Source organism: Homo sapiens, chromosome 19 (genome assembly GCF_000001405.40).
Source record: "Homo sapiens chromosome 19, GRCh38.p14 Primary Assembly".
NCBI lineage: Eukaryota > Metazoa > Chordata > Mammalia > Primates > Hominidae > Homo > Homo sapiens.
The window spans coordinates 52,388,839-52,415,062 of record NC_000019.10 but is presented as its reverse complement, the minus strand read 5'-3'; the positions used below and the strand labels follow the sequence as shown (position 1 = coordinate 52,415,062).

Genomic DNA, 26,224 nt, shown 5'->3' with positions numbered 1-26,224 from the left:
AGAGGGTCTAGATTCTGCCTCACCTGACTCAGACATTGGTAGGAGTATCAGGGTATTGTGTGTATCATGCTGGCAGTGCAGAAAACACAAGGAACTGAGGTGATGCATTGGAGCAGTGGGGAATCTGCAGGAGTCGAGAGAATTATGGGTAAATCTGAAACAGACTATGAGCAGAGAAATACAACAGAGACTGAAAACTTCTGGGAAGAAGCAGGGATGAGCCTCTTAGGGAAAATCAGAAATCCAAGAAGAGCTGTATAGACATTAATAATGGTACTTCCACAAGCCAGAAGAAACACATCCCCAGAAAAGGACTGAGTGTTCCCACATGTAGGAAGCTGAAGGCCCAAGAGATGTGACCAGCTCAACATTCCACTGGAGGCTTTATGATCAAACAACAAACTATCATGAATGCAGGATGTGGGCAAACTCACGACTGCGCCTGACACCAGAAGGTTTGCTGAAGGTAATCACTCCCTGGTGCCATGCTCATTGAAATTATCTACTGGGACATCTACAGTCTATTGTTCAAAGAATGCAGTCTTGCAAACCTGTTGTAAATCAAGCCGCTGACCAATAACCACCCCCTCCCCCTGCCACCATCTCCTTTACCCAATAAAATACAAAGGGCTCTAAAGCTCAGGGCCCTTGTTCACTAGAAGGAGCCCCCTGACCCCTTCTTCCAAATATACACCTTTGTCTTTTATTCCAATGTTCGCCCCCTTCGTTCAGTCCCCCAAGGTCTGTGCAGGTGGCAACTGGTGACCCAGAAGAGGGACTCCGAGGATGTCGGACAAGTGGCCTCCGAACATAGGACTTTGAGGACGTGAACAAAGAAGGTTCTGCTGGAGTAGAGGAACTGAAATTCACAAGGTGAATGGGGAAACCTGGATGAGTCGGCTGGCAGCGGATATAAGGTCAGTGCCCTGAAGAGGTACTGGGAGCGATATGAGGTCGGTGCTCTAAAGTACTGCGAACGGGAAGTTTTCTGAATCAGGGTAACGTGGGGCAGAACTTGTCTGTTGAAAAAAACACTACGTGCAGTTGTTTCAAGTTCTATTGAGACAGCCTGGAACTCAGGTTAATTCACAGACATTAAGCTTCTGCAGGAGATTATGATGCATGGCCCATGGTTTCCACAGGCAGGCACTCTTGATGTGGAAAATTGGGACACAGCAGGAAAAGGATTAAAAGAGGCTCATCAAAAAGGTCTTAAAGTTGATTCTTCTATCTTCACGTGGAGTCTGGTTCGTACTGTTCTGCCATTATCTCATTATTCTGCTGGGCAGCAGGCTGAGTCTAAAAATCTGAAAGAATCTGTTGTCCCACCCACAGATCCAATTGAAAACAAAAAACAGGAGAGGGAGGATAAAAATTGGTTTTTACCACCCCCTCCAGTTGCAGCAACATCTGTACCACCTCCTTCAGTAGCAGAAATAGAGACCCCAGTACAAAGAATGTTACACTCTGCTGCCATAGCTGGAGAGCCCTTAGGACCTTGTGCTTTTCCTATTTCCATAAGGCCTGATCGAAACAATCTACATCAGTTTATTCATGAAAATACCCTAGAGTTTAGTTGTTGAAGGAATTACAAACGAGTGTAGTTAACGATGGAGTACAGAGCCCATTCACTTTAGGATTGCTAGAATCTGTATTCGGTGCTACGTGCCTTCTACTCTTTGATGTAAAACTTTTGGCGCAAACTTGTCTGCTACTGCGTATCTGACACGGAATTTAAATTGGCAAGAACTGTGTGCAAACCAGGCTAGACAGAATCGTGCTGCTTGTCAAGGAGACATTACAGAGGATATGCTATTGAGTAATGACCCTTATTCAGACCTGGAACATCAAATGGCACCCCCAGCTGCTGCTTATCAGCAGCGTTCACAGGCTGCTAAATGCGCCTGGGCCACAATTCCAGATGAGGGAGTCCTAGTACAATCCTTTTTGCATATCATGCAAGGGTTGTAGGAGCCCTATGCACAATTTCTTGCGAGATTACAAGAGGCAGTGAAGCGTCAGATTCCTCATGCCACTGCCACAGAAATGCTAACCTTAACTTTAGCTTTTGAGAATGCAAACGTGGATTGTAAATGTGCACTGGCACCTGTAAGGTGTACAAAAGACTTGGGAAATTTTCTCAGAGCTTGTTAGGATGAAGGAACTGAGCTTCATTGCTCTTCAATGATAGCTGAAGCATGGCTAATTTAGTAGTTGACAAATCTAAAAGGAGCCAAGGGTCAAACGCTAAATTGGGAAAATGTTGTACTTGCGGTAAAACCAGACATTTTAAAAAGGAATGCCACCAGATCTCAGGACAGAAAGGACTTCACAATGCAGTGCCCCCCCCCAACACCCAGCAGAAAAACGCCAGCACTCTGTCCTCGCTGTAACAAAGGAAATCACTGGGCTCATCAGTGCCACTCAAGACTTCATCAGAATGGCACCCCTCCTGCTGGGAAATGAGAAGGTGGCCTGGACCCGGGCCCCTCAAACAATCAGGGCATTCTCAGTCCAGACCACAAGCCCATTTCAGGGATGGGTCCCAAGAGAAACATTGATTCCCTCACCCCAGGAACACCAGGAAGTGCAGGATTAGATCTCCCAGTCAAGAGAAATAACAGTAGTTGGTGGAGACAAACCTATCAAAATTCCCACTGGCATTTGAGGACCTTTACCAAGAGGATACATGGAACTAATTTTAGGCAAAGGCCGCCTTAACTTGCAAGGCATCACTGTAGTCCCAGGAGTGACTGACTCCGATTATGAAGGAGAAATTCAAGTAGTTTTAATGTCACAAGATCTTTGGGTTTTTGAACCAGGAGAATATACTGCTTAGCTATTGCTTATTCCCTGCAAATTACACCCATCTTCATAAAAGGAGAAATGAGGAAATAAAGGGTTTGGGAGCACAACTACATAGGAAACTTATCTATCCCAATCCATAGCCTCTAATAGACCTACCTGTGTAGTACTAATTAAAGGAAAGAAATTTTATGGGCGAATGGACACAGGAGCTGATGTGTCAGTCATATCCAGTAAAGACTGGCCCCCAGCATCGACTCTCAGACTAACCTCCACACCCCTAGTGGGAGTAGGAGCAGCTAAAAGTGTTCAACAGAGTGCTGAGATTTTACCTTGTCTTGGTCTGGATGGTCAGTCAGGTACTTTCCAGTCTTATGTTGTAAATACAGCCATCAATTTATGGGGTGGAGACTTACAGCATGAAATATGAGACTTACAAATGAAAACTTTGGTAACCCAGGATTTGAAATGTTGAAGGACATGGGATATGAAAGTAGAAAAGGTTTAGGGAAATTCCTACAAGGAAACCCTAACCCGTTCTCAGTAACTGGAAAAACAGAAAAGGGCTAGGACGTCAGGATTTCTGATGGGGGTCATTCATATTTCTCCTCTGCCCACTGCCTTACCATTAGAATGGCTTAGTGAGAAACTTGTGTGGGCCCCTAACACAGGGGAAGCTAGATCAACTTCATCTGTTGGTAAAAGAACAATTGAATGCAGGACATATAGAGAAGTGAGTTAGCCCCTGAAATTCACTGGTATTTGTTATTCCAAAAAAGCCTGGAAGACGGTGACTGCTGCATGATTTGAGAGCTATTAATGCACAAATTAAACCAATGGGTGCATTACAGCAAGGTTTACCTTCCCCGGCGGCCATTCCAAGAGACTGGCCTCTTGTAGTAATAGATTTTAAGGATTGTTTCTTTATTATACCATTACACGAGAAGCATAAGCCTCAATTTGCCTTCTCTATGCCTTCTATTAATCATAGAGAACCTGTTTCTTGCTATCAATGGCAAGTTTTACTTGAAGGCATGCTTAACAGTCCTACATTATGTCACCATTTTGTAGGAAGAGCATTAAAGGAGTCTCAAAATATGTTTCCCACTGCGTATATCATTCATTTTATGGATGATATTCTTCTGGCCACTCCTACAGATCAAATTTACATCAATTACTCAGAGATGTAAAGCAAGATCTTGTTAAACGGAATCCCAAAATTGCTCCAGAGAAAGTGCAAATAACTTCCCCATACCATTACGTAGGAAATATTGTTACGGAGAGGAGTGTACGGCCATAGAAAGCAGTTCTTGGTAAAGACACATTATAGACTTTAAATGATTTTCAACAAATACTAGGAGATATTAATTGGCTACGCCCTATGCTAGGTATTGCCACCTATCAACTTACACATCTTTACCAAACCCTGCAAGGAGATTCTTCCTTAAATTCCCTGTGCCCCTTAACAGGCTGAAGAGGAATTATAGCTTATAGAGCAAATGCTTCAGCAGAGACATGCCTCCCGGCTACAGCCACAAAAACCTTTGTTTTTGTTTATTCTCTCTACCCCCTATCTCCAACAGAACTTTTAGGTAGGCCAATGCTTAGACAAATCTGTAACAGTAATACATAAACACAAAGGGGAGATGTAGGGAGCCGATGGCCTGAGAGACATGACCAACTCAGCGTTCCACTGGAGGCTATATGACCAAACAGCAAACTGTTTATCATGAATGCAGGATGTGGGCAAACTCATGACTGCGCCTACCGCCAGAAGGTTTGCTGGAGGCAATCATTCCCTGGCACTGTGCTCACTGAGATTATCTACTGGGACATCTAGAGCCTATTGTTCAAAGAATGCAGTCTTGCAAGCCTGCTGTAAATCAAGCCGCTGACCGACAATCACCCCCACCCTTCTCCCTCTTTTACCCAATAAAATGTGAAGGGCTCTAAAGCTCAGGGCCCTTGTCCATTAGAAGCAAGGAGCCCCCTGACCCTTTCTTCCAAATATACTCTATTGTCTTTGTCTTTTATTCCCACATTTGTTCCCTTTGTTTAGTCCCCCAAGGTCCATGCAGGTGGCACCCACACCCTTTACAACAGGTTGATTTGTAAAGGTCTCACCTTGTACAGTTCTTATGTAAAAGAACTGGAACAGCCAGTGCAGTGGCTCATGCCTGTAATCCCAGCACTTTGGGAAACCAAGGGGGGATGGATAACTTGAGGTCAATAGTTAGAGACCTGGCTGGGCATGGTGGCTCATGCCTATAATCCCAGCATTTTGGGAGGCCAAGGTGAGCGGATCACCTGAGGTCAGGAGTTCGAGACCAGCCTGACCAACATGGTGAAACCCTGTCTCTACTAAAAATACAAAAATTAGCCAGGCGTGATGGTGTGCGCCTAGTCCCAGCTACTCAGGAGGCTAAGACAAGAGAATTGCTTGAATCTTGGATGTGGAGGTTGAAGTGAGACAAGATCATGCCACTGCACTCCAGCCCCTGGGTAACAGAGAAAGACTCCATCTCAAAAAAAACAAAAACAAAAACAAACAAGCAAAAAAACCTGGGAGAAGTTGTTTTAGCAAACCTAAAATAAAAATTACAAGGCCTACATAAGGACATTGAAATAAACAAACAAACAAAAAAACCCAAATCTCCACAAACCCAACCTAGAAAAAGGCAGCCCTCTGATTACTTTACAAATTTTGAAAGCAACTGTCTTAAGATGCTTAACCAGCTGAAACATAAATGAGATAGACAATTAAATGAAATCAGGAAAATGATGCATGAAAAGGAGTATCATGGAGGGTGCCTGTAATCTCAGCTACCTGGGAGGCTGATGCAGGAGAATCGCTTAAACCCGGGAGGTGGAGGCTGCAGTGAGCCAATATCATGCATGGCACTGCACTCCAGCCTGGGCAACAAGAGTGAAACTCCGTCTCAAAAAAAAAAAAAAGAGATTTGATCATTCTAATTAAAATTAACCCAAATACATTCACACAGAGACATACTATAAAGAAATTATCAAGAGTCAAAAAAAGACAAAGACAAAATCTTGACAGCAGCAACAAAAAAGAGACTTGTCAGACAATACTAAACTCTGTAAGATTATATATATTTTCCAGCAGACATCTTCAGGCTAGAAAGCAGTGAGGTGATATATTGAAAGTGCTTAAAGAAAAATAGGCAAAACAGCAATGAAGAATACTACACTTAGCAAAACTCACCTGCAAAAATAAAGGCGAATTTTAGACTTTCCTAAAGAAGAGCTGAGGAAGTTAATTAGTATTCTAGACCTGTCCAAGAAGAAATGCTAAAACGAGCATTCAAGATGAAATGAAAGCACTCTGGACGGTATCTTTAATCCATATGAAAATATAAAGGTCATCATAGGCAGGGCGCAGTGGCTCATGCCTGTAATCCCAACAACTTGGGAGGCTGAGGTGGGTGGATCACCTGAGGTCAGGAGTTCGGGACCAGCCTAGCCAACATGGTGAAACCCCGTTTCTCCTAAAAATACAAAAACTAGTTGGGCGTGGTGTCTGTAACCCCAGCTACTCGGGAGGCTGAGGCAGGAGAATCGCTTGAACCCAGGAGGCAGAGGTTGCAGTAAGCCAAGATCCTGCCATTGCACTCCAGCCTGGGCAACAGAGCAAAACTCCATCCCCCAAAAATAAAAATAAAAAGCTCATCATAAAAGGTCAACAAATGATCAAATACAGAAACAAGTATTATTGCACTTTTCATTTGTAACTTGACTTTTAATTCTTTCCTACAATTTAAAAGACACAATCAGGCCAGGTACAGTGGCACACCTGTAATCCCAGCACTTTGGGAGGCCGAGGCAGGTGGATCACTTGAGGTCAGGAGTTGGAGAGCAGCCTGGCAAATATGGCAAAAACCTGTTTCTACTAAAAATACAAAAATTAGCCAGGGGTGGGGATGGGCGCCTGTAATCCCAGCTACTCAGGAGGCTGAGGCAGGAGAATCACTTGGACCAGAGAGGCAGAGGCTGTAGTGAGCCGAGATCAGCCTGGGAGATAGAAGGAGACTCCATCTCAGAAAAAAAAAAAAAGACACTCTCATTTAAAAAGCATTATAAACATTATAAACATATGTTAATGGGAACATAAAATATATAGGATTAATTTCTGCCAGTAATAACAGAAAGAGCAGAGTTGTTAAGCAGAGCTTTGTGTACCTAATCAAAGATAAGCTGTTAACATTTAAAATAGAATGTTTTGGGCCAGGTGAAGTGGCTCACACCTGTAATCCCAAGCACTTTGGCAGGCTAAGGAAGGGCTAATCACATGAGGCCAGGAGTTCGAGACCAGCCTGCCCAACATGGAAAAATCCCATCTCTACTAAAAATACAAAAATTAGCCAGGCGTGGTGGTGCATGTCTGTAATCCCAGCTACTCCAGAGGCAGAGGCATGTAACGTTGAAATTAACAAAAGAAAAAAATGCATTTTTATTTTTTTTGAGACAGGGTCTCACTCTGTCACCCAAGCTAGGGCGCAGTGGTGCAATCTCGGCTCACTGCAACCTCCACCTCCTAGGTTCAAGCGATTCTCCTGCCTCAGCCTCCTGAGTAGCTGGGATTATAGGCACCTGCCACTACACCCAGTTGATTTTTGTATTTTTAGTAGAGGCAGGGTTTCACCATGTTGGCCAGGCTGGTCTCGGACTCCTGGCCTCAAGTGATCTGCCTGCCTCAGCCCCACAAAGTGCTGGGATTACAGGGATGAGCCACCGTGCCCAGCCAAAAGAATAAAAACTTAAAGATCCACAAATATTTGCCAATTAAACAACACACCTTACTGGTTGCTGTGGCTTATGCCTATAATCCCAACACTTTGGGAAGCTGAGGCAGGCAGACTACTTGAGCCCAGGAGTTCAACACTAGCCTGTATAACATGGTGAAACCCCAACTCCACAAAAAATACAAAAAATTAGCCAGGCATGGTGGCGTACACCTGCAGTCCCAGCTATTCAGGAGGCTGAGGTGGGAGAATCACTTGAGCCCAGGAAGTCGAGGATGCAGCAAGCCGTAATCATGCCACTGCATTCTGGACTGGGTGCCCAGGAGTTCAACACTAGCCTGTGTAACATGGTGAAACCCCATCTCCACATAAAATACCAAAAATTAGCCAGGCATCGTGGCGTACACCTGTAGTCCCGGCTATTCAGGAGGCTGAGGTGGGAGGACCACTTGAGCCCAGGAAGTCGAGGATGCAGCAAGCCATAATCATGCCATTGCATTCTGGACTGGGTGACCCAAGAGAGATCCTATCTCCAAAAAATAAATAGGAAAATAAAGAAAAATGTCTGTTCAGAACTCACAAGATTTCAACTTTGGTTTTCCCACAGAATTCTCCCATTTGCAGAGAGTTTCCCAAACGCTATGTAATAGTGTGGCTTTGCAGGGTACAGTGGCTCATGGCTGTAATCCCAACACTTTGGAAGAGCGAGCCAGGGAGATCCCTTAAGTCCAGGAATTCAAGGCTGCAGTGAGCTATGATTGCCACCGCACTCTAGCCTGGATGACAGCGTTAGACCCTGTCTCAAAAAACAAAAATTATGGGGCCTCCACTCTGCCCACCCGAGCTCTCACCTGTGTTCACACCTTTGATGCACTCCCTGCCGTCTGGATCGTTTGCTATTTTCTCTTCACTCTGCAGAGTCCAGGGATCTCTCTTTTGCTCTAACATGGAGGTAACACTCAGGTCAGGAAGACAGATTCCTATTTATAAAAGAAAGAATAAATGTGTGCTGTGGCATCTCCCAAGTCCAAGCCCTGTATTTAGGGAGGAGAGAGGATATTATAATTAAATCATAAATAGTATTTCACAAATTCATCTACTGACTGCCTCTTTCTGAATGCTTAGGGAACATTGTAACATGCAGACATAGAGCCCCCTTCCAAGAACTATAGAATCAAAAGCACAGGGGTAGAAAACAGGGAACTGGATATTTTTAAAGTTTGTCATAAGGTTTCCTGCATACTTCGGCCCTGGTGCCACCAATCATGAATTGTGGAGGGAGGAGAATAACTGAAGAAAGGGGACATTTCAAGTCCAGAAAGTGTAATACAGTTTTTCAATTCTGAGTCAACATGGTTTCAATCTCAGGCAAGCAATGCAGGAGCTCCCAAGAGGCATATAAGACACAATTCAGAGATCCACCAGGGCAGATCCCGGCTTCTGAGGGGACATTATCCTCACCCAGGGAGACCAGGTTCCTATAATTCTCCAACATCACGTCCCTGTATAAAGTCCTCTGCGCAGGGTCCAGGCATTTCCACTCTTCCTGAGAGAACTCTATGGCCACATCCATGAATTTCAAGGGTCCCTGAAAGAAAATCCACATTTCAGCAACAAGGTATGCACACAGTACTCATCGTCACAAAGAATGGGAAGACAGTCGTTAAGGACTGACTCCACTTATGTGAGCACTGTGAAAAATCCATATTAAGGTATTCTTGAGCCAGTTACGTGTCTGTAATTGTGGTTTTATTATATTTCTCCATAAGAAGTTAAGACATTCCTTAAATCAGTGTAGATGTCTCATTTTTGGACAATACAAAAAAAATTAATCCAGGGTTATCTCTCTCTATAGAAGTGTTAGGTATTTTTACACACCAAGTGATATCCAGTATCTACCTGAGATTCAATTCAAGTGGTGTCTTCAGAGATGACAATGTCTACAGTGTTTTTTTCTTTTTTTTGAGACAGGGTATCACTCTGTCACCCAGACTGGAGTGCAGTGCCACAATCTTGACTCACTGCAACCTCTGCCTCCTAAACTCAAGTCATCCTCCAACCTCAGCCTCTGGAGTAGCTGGGGCTACAGGCTCATGACACCATGCCTGGCTAATTTTTGTATTTTTTATAAATATGGTGTCTCACCATGTTGCTCAGGCTGGTCTTGAGCTCCTAAACTCAAGCTATCCTCCCACCTTGGCCTCCCAAAGTCCTGGGATTACAGGTGTGAGCCGCCACACCCAACCTACTGTAGTTTTGGGTTTTTTTTTTTTTTTTGAGATGGTGTTTCGCTCTTTTTGCCCAGGCTGGAGTGCAATGGTGTGATATTGGCTCACTGCAACCTCCACCTCCCAGGTTCAAGTGATTCTCCAGCCTCAGCTTCCCAACTAGCTGGGATTACAGGTGCCTGCCACCACGACCAGCTAATTTTTTGTATTTTTAGTAGAGACGGGGTTTCACCATGTTGGCCAGGATGGTCTCGATCTCTTGACCTCCTGATCCACCTGCCTTGGCCTCCTAAAGTGCTGGGATTACAGGCGTAAGCCACTGTGCCCGGCCCCAACCTATTGTAGTTTTTAAGAATGGTCAAAATCTTGGCCAGGTGTGGTGGCTCATGCTTGTAATCCTAGCAATTTGGGAGGCCAAGGCAGGTGGATCACCTGAGGTAAGGAGTTCGAGACCAGCCTGGCCAACATGGTAAAACCCTGTCTCTACTAAAAATAGAAAAAAATTAGCCAGGTGTGGTGGTGAGTGCCTGTAATCCCAGCTACTAAGAAGGCTGAGACAGGAGAATCTCTTGAACCCGGGAGGTGGAGTCTACAGTGAGCTGAGATCATGCCACTGCACTCCAGCCTGGGCAACAGACAAGAGTGACACTCCGACTCAAAAAAACAAATAAAATAAAAAATGATCAAAATCTGAAAACTGTGATGATAACAATAGCAATGGCTGAATGGAACACTTCCCATGTGATAGGCACTATTTTAAATGCTTTACATGAACTAACTGGAGGATCACAAGGCAGGCGATCACAAGGTCAAGAGACTGAGAGCATCCTGGCCAACATGGTGAAACCCCATCACTAGTAAAAATACAGAAATTAGCTGGGTGTGGTGGCAGGCGCTTGTAATCCCAGCTACTTGGGAGGCTGAGGCAGGAGAATCGCAGGAACCCGGGAGGCGGAGGTTGCAGCGAGCCAAGATCTCGCCACTGCACTCCAGAATGGGTGAGAGAGCGAGACTTCACCTAAAAAAACAAACAAAAGAAGAAAGAATAATCTGTTCCTATCTTACTGAAGAGACAACTCTTTCACATGTATTCTAGGAAACTCGCCCCAGGTGTCAGGACTAACAATGGCAGTGTAAGCATGGGATCCCAGGTGTCTGGACATTAGAATCAAACCTAAAGAATCAAACAGTTAAGTAACAGATCAGGATCAAAAGAAAATTGACAATTACCTAATTCAGTAAACTTAAAACAAGTTCAAGGATTAAAAACACAAAACTGCCTAAAAGGTCATTATATCTGCATATATATAATATATTATATGTCCCCATAATACATTATTATTCTTATAGCTATCAGCTCATTAGCATGATAGTATAGAAAAATTTTAACCTGGTAAATATTTAAGATGTAATTTCAACTGACTAAAAAACATAAAATTTATATAGATGACATGCCATTCATAAAAACCACTGTTGTGCACTCATCCACACACATCACATGTACACACTTACACACTCATATACACTAGTACACATACACACTTATAGACATCAGTTGAAATAAGAGAAGTTGTCTCTCACTGACTTTTTTTTTTTTTTTTTTTTTTGAGATGGAGTCTCGCTCTGTTGCCCAGGCTGGAGTGCAGTAGCACAATCTTGGCTCACCACAATCTCCACCTCTGAGGCTGAAGCGATTCTCCTACCTCAGCCGCCCAAGTAGCTGGGTCTACAGATGTGCGCCACCATGCCTGGCTAATTTTTCTACTTTTAGTAGAGATGGGTTTCACTATGTTGGTCATGCTGGTTTCAAACTCCTGACCCTCTCATCTGCCCGCCTTGGCCCAAAGTGCTGGGATTACAGGGGTGAGCCACTGCACCCTGTCCCAGTGACCTATTTTTTACATATTTTTCATCATTAGTTTGGTTCGCAATTTTTAGACACAGGGTCTCAATACATTGTCCAAACTGGATGGCAGTGGCTATTCACAGCACACCATAACCTTGAACTCCTGGCATCAAAGGATCCTTCCTCATTAGCCTCCCAAGTGGGAAACTAAAGGCATGCACCATTGTGCCTACCTGTAAGTACTATTTTTCCCAATGTGTATTTCAGCATATTTGCCACAATAAAAATGTATAAATTGTACCAACTTATTTTATAAACATATGGTAAGTACTTAAAAATGGGAGACCATGTAAAACCACAGAAACCTGAACTCCAATCTCTACTAAATATCCATATTCAAAAACATAATATTTTTAAAATTTTAGACAGGATCTCACTAGGTGTCCAGGATAGTCTCAAACTCCTGGGCTGAATGGATCCTCCCACCTCAACCCCTCAAGAAGCTAGAATTATAGGCACACATCACTGCTTCTGGCCTATAAATGAAGCTTCGTCCATTAAAATATTGTTATTTAGGTATTAACAAAATTTAATTAAGTTTACTAATTTATTCCATTAATAAAAAGGTGATATGTTACAGGAAATTAATGTACTAATTTAACATATTAAGGGCAAAGAAAATACCTCAGCACCCTATACCTTAAGAAATCATTGGATATGGCTGGGGGTGGTGGCTCACGCCTGTAATCCCAGCACTTTGGGAGGCCGAGGTGGCCAGATCACTTGAGGCTGACATTCAAGATCAACCTGGCCAACATGGCGAAACCCCATCTCTACTAGAAACACAAAAATTAGATTAGAGTGGTGGTGCATACCTGTAATCTCAGCTACATGAGAAGCTGAGGTGGAAAAATCCTTTGAATCAGGGAGGCGGAGGTTGCAATGAGCAGGGATCATGCCACTGCACTCCAGCCTGGGCAACGTGTGAGACTCTGTCTCAAAAAAAAAAAAGAAAGAAGAAAGAAAGGAACTTTGACGTGCAGCTTCTCTAATTCTAGTCCACAGAACACTGACAGTGCATCCAGATGTGATCCCTGAACAATCCCTGCTGCCCAGCAGCACTGCCACCACGGGACCCACACCCCGTCTCCATCCATGTCTGCTGAGAGCCCTCCCCCGGACCATGCCCAGTGCAGCCTCTTCCCAAGTTCATGTCAATGGGTCACAGTGAACTGAAATCTCAAGCGGAAATGAAGGGACTGGAAGAAGCCATGGGTAAGTGCAAGCAAACGTGTCAGGCAGGATGCTTCAGAGTCAAAGATTAGCAACTCCAATGCCTGGCATTTCAGGAAGAAACAGAGACAGAACAATCCACTGAGAACATTACCTTACCTGAGTAAGGGCCATTCCTGACTTCTTTTCTTTCCTCTTCCAAGTTGCTTCCTTGCATAATATGTCTCTTTGGAAGTGAATCCTGAATGTCAAAAATATGCTGCTTAGGGCTTAGAATCAACATACCTCCTTCCTGTGCCATAGCCACACACAAAGGGAAGACCTCACCCTGAGGTAATCCTCAAACTTTGACTTTCTACATAGGTCTGATTTATCCTAACTGAGCAAGCAGATGTTAATAATTTTGGAAATCAACCATTATGTGGTTAAGGTACCTCGTCTGTTGAGTGGATTCCTTCTGAGATTTTTTTCACTTTATTCTCCCTTTCTTAAAATTTGTGAACCTAAAAAAAAAAAAAAAAAAAAGCAATTCTTCATGTGGTAATAAACTGTGATTCCTAAAATCATACTTTGATCAAGCACTTATTTTAAAAATACAAAACGCTCTCAGAAAAGGAAAGGGGGCTGTGTAGTTGCAGTAGAGGGAGCGGGAAGAACAGAGGCAGGAGATGAGGTCAGAGAGGTCCTGGGGAAGCAGATCAGGCAGGGCTGAGCTCTTCAAATATTTTCTCCTACACATCAAAAGAAATTTTGAAACAATCTATTTCCTCACTCATTTTAAGTAAATATGTCACTTATTCTGTACCTTAGAAATTAAAACACAAATAGTATCTCATATATTTTAAGCACATTCTGACAGGTTTAGTTAATCCCCAGAAAGTAGAAGGTGTCTGTCATCTGAGCTATGCAGGACTGTAGGGAGAACATGTCTGGGGGAGTTCAGGAAGCCTATTTTGGACACGTGGAGGTGGAGATGCCTGTGGATGTCCCAGCAGAGATGTCGAGAACATGACTGGACACAGGATTTTGGAATTCAGGGGAGAGGGGTGGGTGAAGAGGGAAAATGGAGACATGTTGGTGGTGTTTAAAACCATAGATGAGATCAAAAGGAAAAGCTGAGGGTGTGGGCAGACAGAACAGGTTTAAGGACTAAATTGGGTGACATTTCCATATTCAGAGAAGACACTTCAGGAGACAGCAGCAGAGGAAACTGATAAGATACGAAAGTAATGAGAAAAATTTTAAACAGATTTTTAAAAATACAAGCAATGTCTTCAAAGCTGCGAAAAAAAAGAGTGATCAGCTGTGAAACATGCTGCTGACAGAAAAAGACAGGAGGACAGAAAATTCAAAGTCAGATTTAAGCAGGGTAAAGGGCTCATGCCTCTAATCCCAGCATGCTGGGACTTCTTTGTAGGAGGATGGCTAGAAGTCAGGAGTTCAAGACCAGCCTGGGCAATGTAGTGAGACTTTGTCTCAAAAAAAAAAATTTTTTTTTCAATCAGCCACGCAGAGGGACAGGCCCATAGTCCTATCTACTCTGGAGGCTAAGACGGGAGGATTGCTGGAGTCTAGGGGTTTGAGGTTATGGTGAACTATGACTGTGCCACTGCATGCCAGCTTGGGTGACAGAGCAAGACCTTGTCTCTAAAAATTAAATGAATAAATAAATAACTAGATTTAGAAACAGAGAAGTCACTGGTGACTCAGATAAAAAAAGGAGCAGTGGAATGGTTGGTGTCAAAACCTGATTGGATGGGGTCAAGCAAGAAATGGAGGAAAGAGTGAGAGAGCGCCTAAACAAGATTTTGGTATATTGTGCTCTTACATGGAGCACAGAAAAGGCATACTTATTGCAAGTAAAAATGTAGCTAATACTTTGTTTTTTCTTCTGAGGATGAAATAGTGGAAAAAATAAAGGCGTGTGTGTGTGTGTGTGTGTGTGTGTGTGTGTGTGTGTTTTAATGGGCAACAACTCCATCTGGGTATGCTGACCAAAATAATTCCCTTGAAGTAAAATCTGATGACACTGTGGAGGAGGGATGCCGTGGCATCAGGAGAGAGTGAATGGGGCTGGCCTGTGGCACACAGTCTCAGCATCAGCAGCAGCCAGGAGCAGGGACAGACAATTCCCAGTCACTACTAAGAACACAGTCCTAGAGACAGGTGAGTGGGCCTGTTGGAAAATTCTTCCCCTTACTGTTTGAGACAGGAAAAAACCACACTGTTTTTACTACTCTCACACCCAAAGGAGAATCCCTCACCTTTAGTGATCAAAATGTGTCTGTGGTTGTTCCTACACTGACCAGTTAAACTGAGTAAAATTACAGAACACCCAGGTGCTGTCTGACGAAGAACTGCTTGTTGGTGACAAGTAATTCCCATATTACTTTGGTGACCAGAGATGAGGCATTCTGTGTTGAGCGCTCTTTATTGTGTTCACTGTGAACACAAAAACACACTGGTTTTTCCTAACTTATACACTCACACCCTAGTCCATCCCAAGAAAAGAGAAGAGTGCCTTATAAATAGTGTTCCAATTCTCATCTTCATGTGTGGTTTTTTGTTTTTTGTTTTTTGAGATGGAGTCTTGCTCTGTCACCTAACCTGGAGTGCAGTGACACGATCTCGGCTCACTGCAACCTCTGCCTCCCAGGATTAAGCGATTCTCCTGCCTCAGCCTCCAGAGTAGCTGGGATTACAGGCGCAGGCCATCAGGCCCAGCTAATTTTTGTATTTTTACTAGAGATGGGTTTCACATGTTGGCCAGGCTGGTCTCAACTCCTGACCTCAAGTGATCCGCTCACCTCAGCTTCCCAAAGTACTGGGATTACACGTGTGAGCCACAGCTCCTAGCCTCATGTGTTCTAAACAAATTTTATATTATAGAAAAATTAATATGTCACAATTCAATCATAATTTCCAATCAACTCACCACTCATCTGTAACCAGGGTCCCCCTCTTTCCTCACTACTGTTTCCCTGCCTCATTCTGTACATATCTCTCATTCTCATCTTTTTTCCTAGCTCTTTTTTTCTCTATTTTCCCCTAGGATTCTGTTCATTTTGAGTCCCTCCTCTTCTCTTTGTCCCATTCTTCCCTCTATTCCTTCTCTCCCACCTGTTCTGATCCATTTTTACAACTTGTTTCACCTCTTATTCCTCTTTCTGCCCAATCTTTCATTGTCCCTAATCTCCATATATTTCTGCCTCTTTCCTCCCACATCTCAGCTCCCCTTGGGGTCTCCCTGTTAAATTCCATCTTCGATATTACACACCCCTGTCCCCACTCTCTGGCACCCTTAGATCCCAGGCCTCCCCCTGCTGTGGTTCTCCCTGTTCTCCTTGTGACCAGCTGCCCCCTCTGGCTGTCCCAGCACCACGCTGCTCTGTCTGACCTGGCTCCAAATCCCTCCTCCTCTCCCCCCTCTGTCTGAGAAGCCTTCCCTATCTTGTTGAATTTCGTCTTTCTACAGACCCAGGTTTGTCTATATTTTTACAGTTACTTTTCTCCCCTGCTATTTTCTCGGCACCTTCTTTCACTGTGCCTCTGCAAACCCCTCACTCACCTTCTACTTTGCCTTCTGTTAATGGGTCTCTCATTCTTCATTTCTCTTTCAAAATTTCTCTATTTCCTCTGCCTCGTTCCCATCTCTTTTTCTCCACACATTCACAGGGAGGGGATTGGAATAAGATGCCCACTTCCGGAAGAGCTCATTTTCTGTGGGCTGGAAACTGGCTCGAGAGAACACTGGATGTCAGGAGACTGAAGTCACCCCCCACACTCGGGGTCAGGAGAACCGGTGGCTGGAAAAGGGAGGCCTGGGGAACAGAGGGTCCAGATTAAGGAGCAAAAAGGCAGGAGTGGGTCAGGAGAGGGGTGGAGTCTGCAGAAACCAGGTCTGGGCAGAGGACGAGGCCTCTCGTGCCCTGTTGGGGCGCTGAGCTCTAGGGGCAAAGAAGGGCGAGGCTAGGGGAACGGAGAGTGAGGATTTTACGTGGTGCGGGGCGTGTGTAGGGGTTACTAAAGGATTTGAAGCAGGTAAACCCCACGATAGGAGGTGTCTACGTGGGTAAATGACAAAAAGACCGGGCACACGACCAGCCTCCAAGCGATTTTAACACGCAGAAAGCGACTCCCAGACTCTCAAAGGATGTCTGAATTTACTCGGGGTGGAGGGAGCGGTGCCGGGATTTCAAGGTCTGCATGCCCCTCAGCTCCCGGGTATAGAAGCAGAGAAGAACTGGCTAGCCTAGACTTAACATAGACAAAGGGAAACTCACGCACTGCTGCGAAAACAGTTTCTCCCTGCAATCGGCTTCCGGGTCTACCGGAAACTGCGCTCTAGGCGTTCGCCCCCCGCGGTCCGCTTCCGGGTTTGCACGAAATTGCGCGCGCATCCTAGAGGCCGGACTGGCTGGGACCAGGGCGGGCCGGGACAAAGCCTGGGCCGGGCCTGCGCTTCCGTTCGCTTGACTGGCTGCGCTTGTTTTCAGGGTTTTGGTCTGAAAACGGATCTTACCTGCGCAGAGCAAAATCGGTTGTAGATTATATCCACGAAAATTCCTTCTATTAAAATGAATTTCAAGTCCCACCTACCCTGGAAGCAGAAAGAGAGAGAAGAGAGAGAGTAAAGAGAAAGAGAAAAGAAAGAGAAGTTGAAAAAGAGAAAGAAAACCAAGAAAGAAAGAGAAAAAAACCGAAAATAAATGGACAAGAAAGAAAAGTAAGGAGGGAAGGGAAGGGAGGAAGGGAAGGGAAGCTTTAGGAATTGAATTAACACACTTTGGAATTGTCTGTGAAGGGGATGATGCAAGCTAAAATGTGAAATGCAAAACCCTGCCAGGGTAGAATGTTCTATTTCATGCCAGTGCCCATAGAAGATAAATACTTTTCATTTATCTTCCCCATTCACTCTAGACGGTGAAGGTCAACCCTGTGCTCAATTCCAGAGACTTTCCTAGGGACATCGTGTTGGGCATGGAGGACTAAGGCCAGTGTGAAGATAAGTCACCGATTCTTTAAAAAAAAAAAGCCAGTAACTTATAAAAATAGCCATAAACGACGTAGTTTTTTGTTGTTGTTGTTGTTTTGAGACAGCGTCTCCCTCTGTCCCCCAGGCGGGAGTACAGTGGCAGGCACTCAGCTCACTGTAACCTCCGCCTCCTGGGTTCAAGTGATTCTCTTGCCCCAGCCTCCAGAGTAGCCACCACGCCCGGTCCAACTTAGTTTTTTAATACTTTTTAAAATTTTAAGACAGGGTCTCTGCCACCGAGGCTGAAATGCAGTGGCGCAATCATAGCTCACTGCAACCTTGACTTCCTGGGGTCCTGGGCAGGTGACCCCCTGTCTCAGCCTGCCGAGTAGCTGTGAGTAAAGGCCTGTGCCTCTCCACTGTGCTAATTTTCTACTGTTTGTTGCTTTGTTTTTAATAGAGATGTAGTCTGGTTTTGTTGCCCAGGCTGGTCTCCAGCTTCTAGCCTCAAGCAGTCTTCCCATCTGCTCCTACCAAAGTGCTCGGATTATAGGCATGAATCACCTTGCATGGGAGATAAGGACCCCCACATCAAGCCCTCAGGTTATTTTTGAAACACAAATACATAAGGCCCACAAGCAGGCCCATTGGCTGCAGACAGTGGGGTCACCTGAAGAACTTTTCTTTGATCTGAGTACCAACTTCTCACCTAGGTCACTGGGATCCTGGACTACGGCACTGCTCCAGGCAGGCCTGGTTATCCTGCTTGAGGCAGCAATCCTCTTGAGCCTAGTGAAATGCAACTGGCTGTACCTCAATGATGTTGCCCTGAGATTCTGCCAGTCGAGGTATTACTTCAATCTCCTGAGACCAGCCTCTACCTCCAGATCCAGGGAGGTCAGTGCACATGTAAATGGACTAGCTTTATTAAAGGGGATATCTGGGCCAGGCGTGGTGGCTCACGCCTGTAATCCCAATACTTTGGGAGGCCGAGGAGGGCAGATCACCTGAGGTCGGGAATTAGAGACCAGCCTGGTTAACATGGTGAAACGAAGTCTCTACTAAAAATACAAAAAAAAAAAAAAAAAAAATTAGCCAGGCATGGTGGCACACGCCTGTAGTCCCAGCTACTCGAGAGGCTGAGACACAAGAATTGCTTGAATCTGGGAGGTGGAGGTGCAGTAAGCCAAGATTGCGCCACTGCACTCCAGCCTGGGAGACAGAGCGAGACTCCGTCTCAAAAAATATAAAAATAAAAGGGATATCTGGATTGGCGGAGAGACTGCAGGACAGCATTCAAGTGGGGTTGAATTGGCCCAGTTGCATCTGACTTCTCACTTGTAGTTCCCAAGAATGAATATAGAATGTGCTGGAAAAGCAACATCCTGAGAGGAAGGGACCGGTGAGAAAAGGACAGGATGTGTTCCAGATCCCCAGAACAGGATCCCCTTTGTTGCTTTAGGCCAACGTGCCATGCATCCCTGGAGCATGAAACCCAGGATGGGCCGCCTTCCAGCCTCCCACAGCTGTGATGCAAGTTGAACACATACAGAGAGACTGCATCTGCACTGGGTGGTTTTCCTGAGCCTTGGGGAGCAGAATGCATGAATCCCAGGTATCTGCCGATCTGTATGTAACAAATTCACTTCATGTAACTTACTGTGTGTCCGTGAGATTATCTCTCACTCAACTCAGACACATTGGCAACCAGTGTGCAGTGAACCTGCTTCACAAGCAAGGATGTGGAGAAACTATTTTCGTACATTTTGTGGGAATCTGAAATACTGCGGTCAGTATGGAAAGCAGTATCATGGGAAACTTCCTCAACTCAAGATCACCTACCAATCCTTACAGAATCAGAATCATCATACAAACTGGTGAAAGCATAGTTTCCCCTAGAGGTTGGGATGAGGGCAAGAATGTCCCCTCTTATCACTACTATTCCACACAATATGAAAGGTTCCAGCCAGTGAAATAAAGGAAAAAGAAATAAAAGTGACAGGCTGGGTGTGGTGTCTGAGGCCTGTAATCACAGTGCTTTGGGAGGCTGAGGAAGGAGGGTGGCCTGAGGACAGGACAAAAAAAATAGTGTACCAACAGAAAATATGTTGGTTGTGCAGGCTAATACCTTTCCCAAAGGAAGGTAGCTACATCCCTATGACCTGTGTTACTGGATATATCAAAAGGGAGTTTGCAAATGTGGTCTAGATAAGGATCTTTAGATAGACATCCTGAATTATATGGTCAAAGTGATAGAATCACAAGGTTCAATATCAGAAGGGTGCAGGTGGATGCGAAGGGACAGAGACAGTGGTGATGTGTTGAAAATAGAGGGATAAAGAGATTTTTTTTCTCACCTTTAAAGATGGAGGAAGTGGACCATGAGTCAAAGGATGTAAGTGGCCTCTGGAACCTACAAAGGGTAAGGAAACAAATTCTCCCCTGGAGATTAATGAAGAATCACAGAACTATGGACCCATATTAGATATGTGACTTACAGAATTATAAAAGAATAAATTTTTCTTGTTTTAAGCCAATCACTGTGTATAGCAATAGGAAACTGATGAAATGATTTTATGTAGAAAATTCCAAAAAAATCTACAAAAATCTCTAGAACAAGAAAAATGTAAAGGTAGCAAAGTATAAGGTCAACCTACAAAAATATCGTATATTTCATCAGCCAGGCATGGTGGCTCGTGCCTGTAATCCCAGCACTTTGGGAGGCCAAGGCAGGCAGATCACTCAAGCTCAGGAGTTTGAGACCAGGCTGGGTAACATGGTGAAACCCCATCTCTACAAAACACAAAAATTTAACAGGCCATGGTGGCACATGCCTGCAGTGCCAGCTACTGGGGAAGCTGAGGTGGGAGGATGACTTAAGCCTGCAGGACACAGGTTGCAGTAGCTGAGATTGCTCCACTGCACTCCAGCCAGGATGACAGAGTAAGGCCCTGTCTCAAAATAATAATAATAATAATCTTGTATATTTCTATACACTAGCAATTTGCACATGAAACCTGATATTAAAAATAAAATACTATGTATGATTGCTCCATTAAGAAAAAGGTCAAAGAGGCCGGGTGCAGTGGCTTACACCTGTAATCCCAGCACTTTGGGAGGCCAAGGCAGGTGGACTACGAGGTCAGGAGATCGAGACTATCCTGGCTAACACGGTGAAACCCCATCTCTACTAAGAAAATACAAAAAAATTAGCCAGGTGTGGTGGCGGGTGCCTGTAGTCCCAGCTACTGGGGAGGCCGAGGCAGGAGAATGGCGTGAACTCAGGAGGCGGAGCTTGCAGTGAGCTGAGATCGCGCCACTGCACTCCAGCCTGGGCGACAGAGCAAGACTCCGTCTCAAAAAAAAAAAAAAAAAAAGGGGGGGGGCAAAGAAATACATGTGAAACAAAACATTCATAGAACTGTTATGTTACAACTACCAAATGCTGATAAAAGAAATCAAAGACAGCAAATAGAGACATATACCATATACATTTATTGGAAGACTCCATGTAAAGCAATATGAATTATACAAATCTGACACATAGGGTTAATACCTTTCCTAATTAAGGCATTCTGCAGATACTAACAAGGTTAGCAGTTATGTAGAAAGACAAAAAACCCAAACACCTAAAATAGCTAAAACATCTGACCAACAACAACAAAAGATTGGTATCACTTCATGTGATTTCAAGTCTTCTAATACAATAAAAGTATTTTTTCCCTTTCTCATATTTACAGTAAACCTAGTTTGTATTTGTCATTGTCTCGAAGCAAGAATCTGTCCCAGAAAAAAAAAAAAGAAAGAAAGAAAATTTCCATTCAAAACTAACAGGATTTAGGCCAGGCATGGTGGCTCACACCTGTAATCCCAGCCCTTTGGGAGGCTGAGGCGGGCAGATCAAATGAGGACAGCAGTTCGAGACCAGCCTGGCCAACTTGGTGAAACCCTCTCTCTACTAAAAATACAGAAATTAGCCAAGGATGGTGGCAGGCACCAGTAATCCCAGCTACTCAGGAGGCTGAGGCAGGAGACTAGCTTAAACCTGGGAGGCAGAGGTTGCAGTGAGCCGAGATTGCGCCACTGTACTCCAGCCTGGGCAACAGAGTGAGACTCTGTCTCAGAAAAGAAAAAAAAAAAAAAAACTAACAGGATTTATACTATTGGTTTTCCACAGAATTCTCCCAGTTGCAGAGTTTCCCAAACACTATTTATTAGTGTGGCTTTGCAGGGTGCAGTGGCTCACACCTGTAATCCCACCAGTTTGGGAGGCAGAGGAAGGAGGATGACTTGAGCCCAGGAGTTCCAGGCTGCAGTGAGCTATGATTGCCACTGCACTCCAACCTGGCTAACAGAGCAAGACCCTGTCTCTCAAAAAATATATATATATATACAGCTTCCACTCTGCCCATCTGAGCTCTTACCTGTGTTCACACCTTTGATCCATTCCCTCCCATCTGGATTTTTTTGCTATTTTCCCTTCACTCTCCAGAGTCCAGGGCTCTCTCCTTTGCTCCCACATAGAGATAATACTCAGGTCAGGAAGACAGATTCCTGTTTATAAAAAAAGAGAACCAAGGTGTACTGTGGCACCTTTAAAACTCAAGCCCTGGGCTGGGTGCAGTGGCCCAGGCCTGTAATCCCAGCACTTTGGGATGCCGAGGCAGGCAGATCACTTGAGGTCAGGAGTTCGAGACCAGCCTGGCCAACGTGGCAATATGCTGTCTCTACTAAAAATATAAAAATTAGCCAGGTTTGGTGGTGGACGCCTGTAATCCCAGCTCCCTGGGAGTCTGAGGCAGGAGAATCACTTGAACCCGGGAGGTGGCGGTTGCAATGAGCTGAGATAGCACCACTGCACTCTAGCCTGGGTGACAGAGCGAGGCTCCGTCAAAGTGAAAGAAAAGAAAGAGAGAGAGAAAGGGAGGAAGGAAAGAGAGAAAGAGAAAGAAAGTCAGTCCATGGTTTCCAAAACATACTTCTGTTTCCATTAATTTATTAGGAATGCTCTTCCATCTGGCTGTTGATCTGTGTCCTGTGTAACATCCTTTATAACAAATGGTACACCTCAGTAAATTGTTTCTCCAAGTTGTGTAAATCACTCTAGCAATAGCAAATTCTGGGGGCAGTTTTGTGCAACTGAGCCCTCAGCCTCCTGTGAGATCTAATGCTAACTCCCTATAAATGGTGTCAAATTGAGTTCAATTAGAGAACACCCAGTTTTTATCTGATGAAAAATAGCTTGTTGGTGGGAAGTAATCCCCACACATTTTGATGACCGGAGATGAGGCATTCTGTGTTGAGCATTCACTATTGTGTTGATTGTGAGTAGAAAAAACACTTTGGTTTTTCCTCCTATCTTATACACTCACACACCCTACCCCATCCCAGAAGTGAAGATAGTGACCCATACCTGAATGAGTCAAGTCACTGCCTGCCGTCTGGCAGAATAAGGACAGCAAATGGAAGCTAACCTCTGATACCAAGAATTAGGAAATGCACATGCCTTATAGACAGTTTTCCAATTCTCATCTTCATCTGTATATTTTAAACAAATGTGATGTTTATTATAGAGAAATTAATCATAATATCCAATCAATTCATCATTCATCTGGATTGAGTGTCCCCCTCTTTCCTCATTACTGTGTGTTTCTCTACCTACCTCTCATTCTCACCTTCTTTTCCTAGCTTTTTTTTTCTCTTTATTTTTCCCCTAGGATTCTCCTCATTTCAAGCCCTTCTTCCTTCTCCTGCTCTTCCCTCTATTCCTTCTCTTCCACTTGTTCTGCTCCTTTCTCACTTCTTTCACCTCTTATTCTTCTTTCTGCCCAATATTTGTCTCCAATTTTCATATAGTTCTGCCTCTTTCTTCCCCCCGTCTCTGCTGCCCCCTAGCTTCCCCTGTTAAATCCCCTCTTCCCTGCTATATCCACCTGTCCCCTCTCTGGCATCCCCAGATCCCAGTTCTCCCCAGGCTGTGGTTCTCCCTGTGCTCTCCTTATCACTGGCTGCCCCTCTTGCTCTCCCAGCACCATGCTGCTCTGTCTGCCCTGGCTCCAAATCCCTCCTTCTCTCCCCAACTCTCCATCTGAGGAGCCTCCCCTTTTCTGCCCCTCTCCCTATCTTGCTGAACTTTATCTCTCTAGAAACCCAGTTTTTCTCTAAATTTCTCTAGTTGCTTTTCTCCCCCTGCTCCTTTCTCAGCATCTTCATGCACTGTCTCTGCAAATCCCTCATCCACCATCTACTTTGCCATCTGTTTTGTTTTGTTTTTTGTTTTTTGAGATGGAGTTTTGCTCGTCGCCCAGGCTGGAGTGCAATGGTGCGATCTTGGCTCACCGCAACCTCCGCCTCCCGGGTAAAAGCGATTCTCCTGCCTCAGTCTCCAGAGTAGCTGGGATTACAGGCATTCGCCACCATGCCTGGCTAATTTTGTATTTTTTAGAGACAGGGTTTCTCCATGTTGGTCAGGCTGGTCTCAAAACTCCTGACCTCAGGTGATCTGCCCGCCTCAGCCTCCCAAAGTGCTGGAATTACAGGCGTGAGCCATCGCACCCAGCTGCCGTCTGTTTATGGGTCTCCTTCATTCTTCTTTCCCATTTCACCATTTTTCTATTTCCTCTCCTCCACACATTCATAGGGAGGGGACTGCAGTCAGATCCCCACCTCAAGAGCCCATTTCCTGTGGGATGGAATTTGGGACAAGAGAAACCTTAACGTCCTGAGATAGAAGTCACGTCCCCACACTCGATATCAGGAGAAGGGGAGGCCTGGGGAGCAGAAGGGCCCCCGATCAAGGAGGAAAAAGGCAGGAGAAAGTCAGGAGAGGGGCAGGGTCTGCAGGATCCCAGGACCAGGAAGAGTTCACGGCCTCCCTGGGACTGGGGCTGCGTCGCTGCGCTCCAGGAGCTGACGAGGGAGCGGAGCAGATGGGAAGCTCCCAGGGCGGGAATCAACCTTGCGGTGAGGACTTTAAAAAAGGTGCGGGCCAGTGCAGGGGACACTGAAGGATTTGAGGCAGGAAAACTCCGCGATAAGAGCTGTCTATATGGCCCTGTGGCAGAAGCACGGGGGACACGACCCCATGGAACTGTGTCCATTAAACCTCTTTGTCTTCATAAATTACCCAGTCTCGGGTATTTCTTTATTAGCAGCGTGAGAACAGACTAATACAGTAAATTGGTAATGGTATAGAGTGGGGTGCTGCTATAAGGATACCTCAAAATGTGGAAGCAAATTTTGAACTGGGTAACAGGCAAAGGCTGGAACAGTTTGGAGGGCTCAAAAGAAGACAGGAAGACGTGGGAAAGTTTGGAGCTTCCTAGAAAATGGTTGTTGAATGGTTCTGACCAAAAAGTCCAGGCTGAAGGTGGTCTCAGATGGAGATGAGGAACTTTATTGGAACTGGAGCAGAGGTGAGCTGCAGGGGCGGAGCCCTCATGGAGAACCTCTGCTAGAGCAGTGCAGAAGTAAAATGTGGGGTTGGAGCCCCCACACAGACTACTCACTACTCGCCTAGTGCAGCCGTGAGAAAAGGGCCACCCTCCTATAGACCCCAGAATGGTAGATTCACCGACAGCTTGCACCATGTGCCTGGAAAAGTAGCAGACACAACACCAGCCTGTGAAAGCAGCCAGGAGAGGAGCTGTACCCTGCAAAGTCACAGGGGCAGACATGGGTTCCCTGCAAGACCACTGGAACCAACCTCTTGCATAAGTGTGACCTGGATGTGAGACACGGAGTCAAAAGAGATCATTTTGGAGCTTTGACTGCCCTGCTGGATTTCAGACTGGCATGGGGCCTGTGACCTGTTTTGGCCAATTTCTCCCATTTGCAACGGGCGTTATTTATCCAATACCTGTGCCTCCATTGTACCTAGGAAATAACTAACTTGCTTTTTATTTTACAGGCTCATAAACAGAAGAGACTTGCTTGTCTCAGATGAAACTTTGGACTGTGGACTTTTGAGTTAATGCTGAAATAAGACTTTGGGGGACTGTTGGGGAGGCATGATTGGTTTTGAAATGTGAGGACATGAGATTTGGGAGGGACCAGGGGCAAAATGATATGGTTTGGCTGTGTCCCCACCAAATCTCATCTTGAATTGCAGCTCCCATGATCCCCACATGTGGGAGGGACCCGGGGGGAGGTAACTGAATCATGGGGGTGGGATTTTCCCATGCTGTTCTCATGATAGTGAATAAATCTCATGAGATCTTATGGTTTTATAAAGGGCAGTTTCCCTGCACGGGCTCTCTCTTGCCCGCCACCACGTAAGACATGTGTTTGCTCCTCCTTCACCTTCTGCCATGATTGTGAGGTCTCTCTAGCCGTGTGAAACTGTGAGTCCATTAAACTTCTTTTTCTTTATAAA

General features: G+C 45.0%; 2 protein-coding genes and 1 long non-coding RNA gene across 14 annotated transcripts in view, besides 1 other annotated feature; 1 reads left to right on the top strand and 2 right to left on the bottom strand.

The window, feature by feature from the left end:
- ZNF528 (zinc finger protein 528) overlaps positions 1 to 17,214 on the bottom strand; it is a 20,553-nt gene extending 3,339 nt beyond the window's left edge. The window contains exons 1-7 of one of the 6 annotated variants that reach the window (XM_006723418.3): positions 16,444 to 16,593; positions 13,310 to 13,378; positions 13,035 to 13,116; positions 9,030 to 9,156; positions 8,420 to 8,548; positions 695 to 845; positions 24 to 124 (exon numbers count right to left, since the gene is read on the bottom strand). In XM_006723418.3, the coding sequence (XP_006723481.1) occupies positions 24 to 124; positions 695 to 845; positions 8,420 to 8,548; positions 9,030 to 9,156; positions 13,035 to 13,049 (523 nt within the window). In that variant the 5' untranslated portion in view covers positions 13,050 to 13,116; positions 13,310 to 13,378; positions 16,444 to 16,593. Of the gene's footprint in view, positions 1 to 23; positions 125 to 694; positions 1,318 to 8,419; positions 8,549 to 9,029; positions 9,157 to 12,517; positions 12,564 to 13,034; positions 13,117 to 13,309; positions 13,379 to 16,443; positions 16,697 to 17,158 lie in introns of those variants that run through there. The other 5 variants (NM_032423.3, XM_047439511.1, XM_017027365.2 and 2 more) reach the window with 5 other exon arrangements.
- Positions 16,703 to 17,902: an enhancer, noted in NCBI's record as "CDK7 strongly-dependent group 2 enhancer chr19:52900414-52901613 (GRCh37/hg19 assembly coordinates)". NCBI's record gives its function as "activates an origin of replication core promoter dependent on BRD2, BRD4, P300/CBP, MED14 and CDK7 cofactors, with strong dependence on CDK7, by STARR-seq in HCT116 cells {active_cell/tissue: HCT116}" and the evidence as "EXISTENCE:reporter gene assay evidence [ECO:0000049][PMID:35650434]".
- Positions 17,306 to 26,224, top strand: ZNF528-AS1 (ZNF528 antisense RNA 1). Its single transcript, NR_125345.1, has 7 exons — positions 17,306 to 17,601; positions 17,796 to 17,868; positions 18,311 to 18,453; positions 18,564 to 18,698; positions 19,313 to 19,465; positions 20,216 to 20,272; positions 25,760 to 26,224. It is a non-coding gene; the product is annotated as a ZNF528 antisense RNA 1 (long non-coding RNA).
- Positions 17,397 to 26,224, bottom strand: part of ZNF880 (zinc finger protein 880) — a 30,809-nt gene continuing 21,981 nt past the window's right edge. For 4 of the 7 annotated variants that reach the window (XR_007066826.1, XR_007066827.1, XR_001753689.3 and 1 more), the window contains one exon: positions 22,321 to 22,404. Coding sequence is in view for 2 of the 7 variants with exons in the window: in XM_047438837.1 (XP_047294793.1) it covers positions 20,095 to 20,263; positions 22,275 to 22,404 (299 nt within the window). In the remaining 5 variants the exon portion in view is untranslated. Of the gene's footprint in view, positions 17,476 to 19,188; positions 20,264 to 22,274; positions 22,405 to 26,224 lie in introns of those variants that run through there. The other 3 variants (XR_001753688.3, XM_047438837.1, XM_047438838.1) reach the window with 2 other exon arrangements.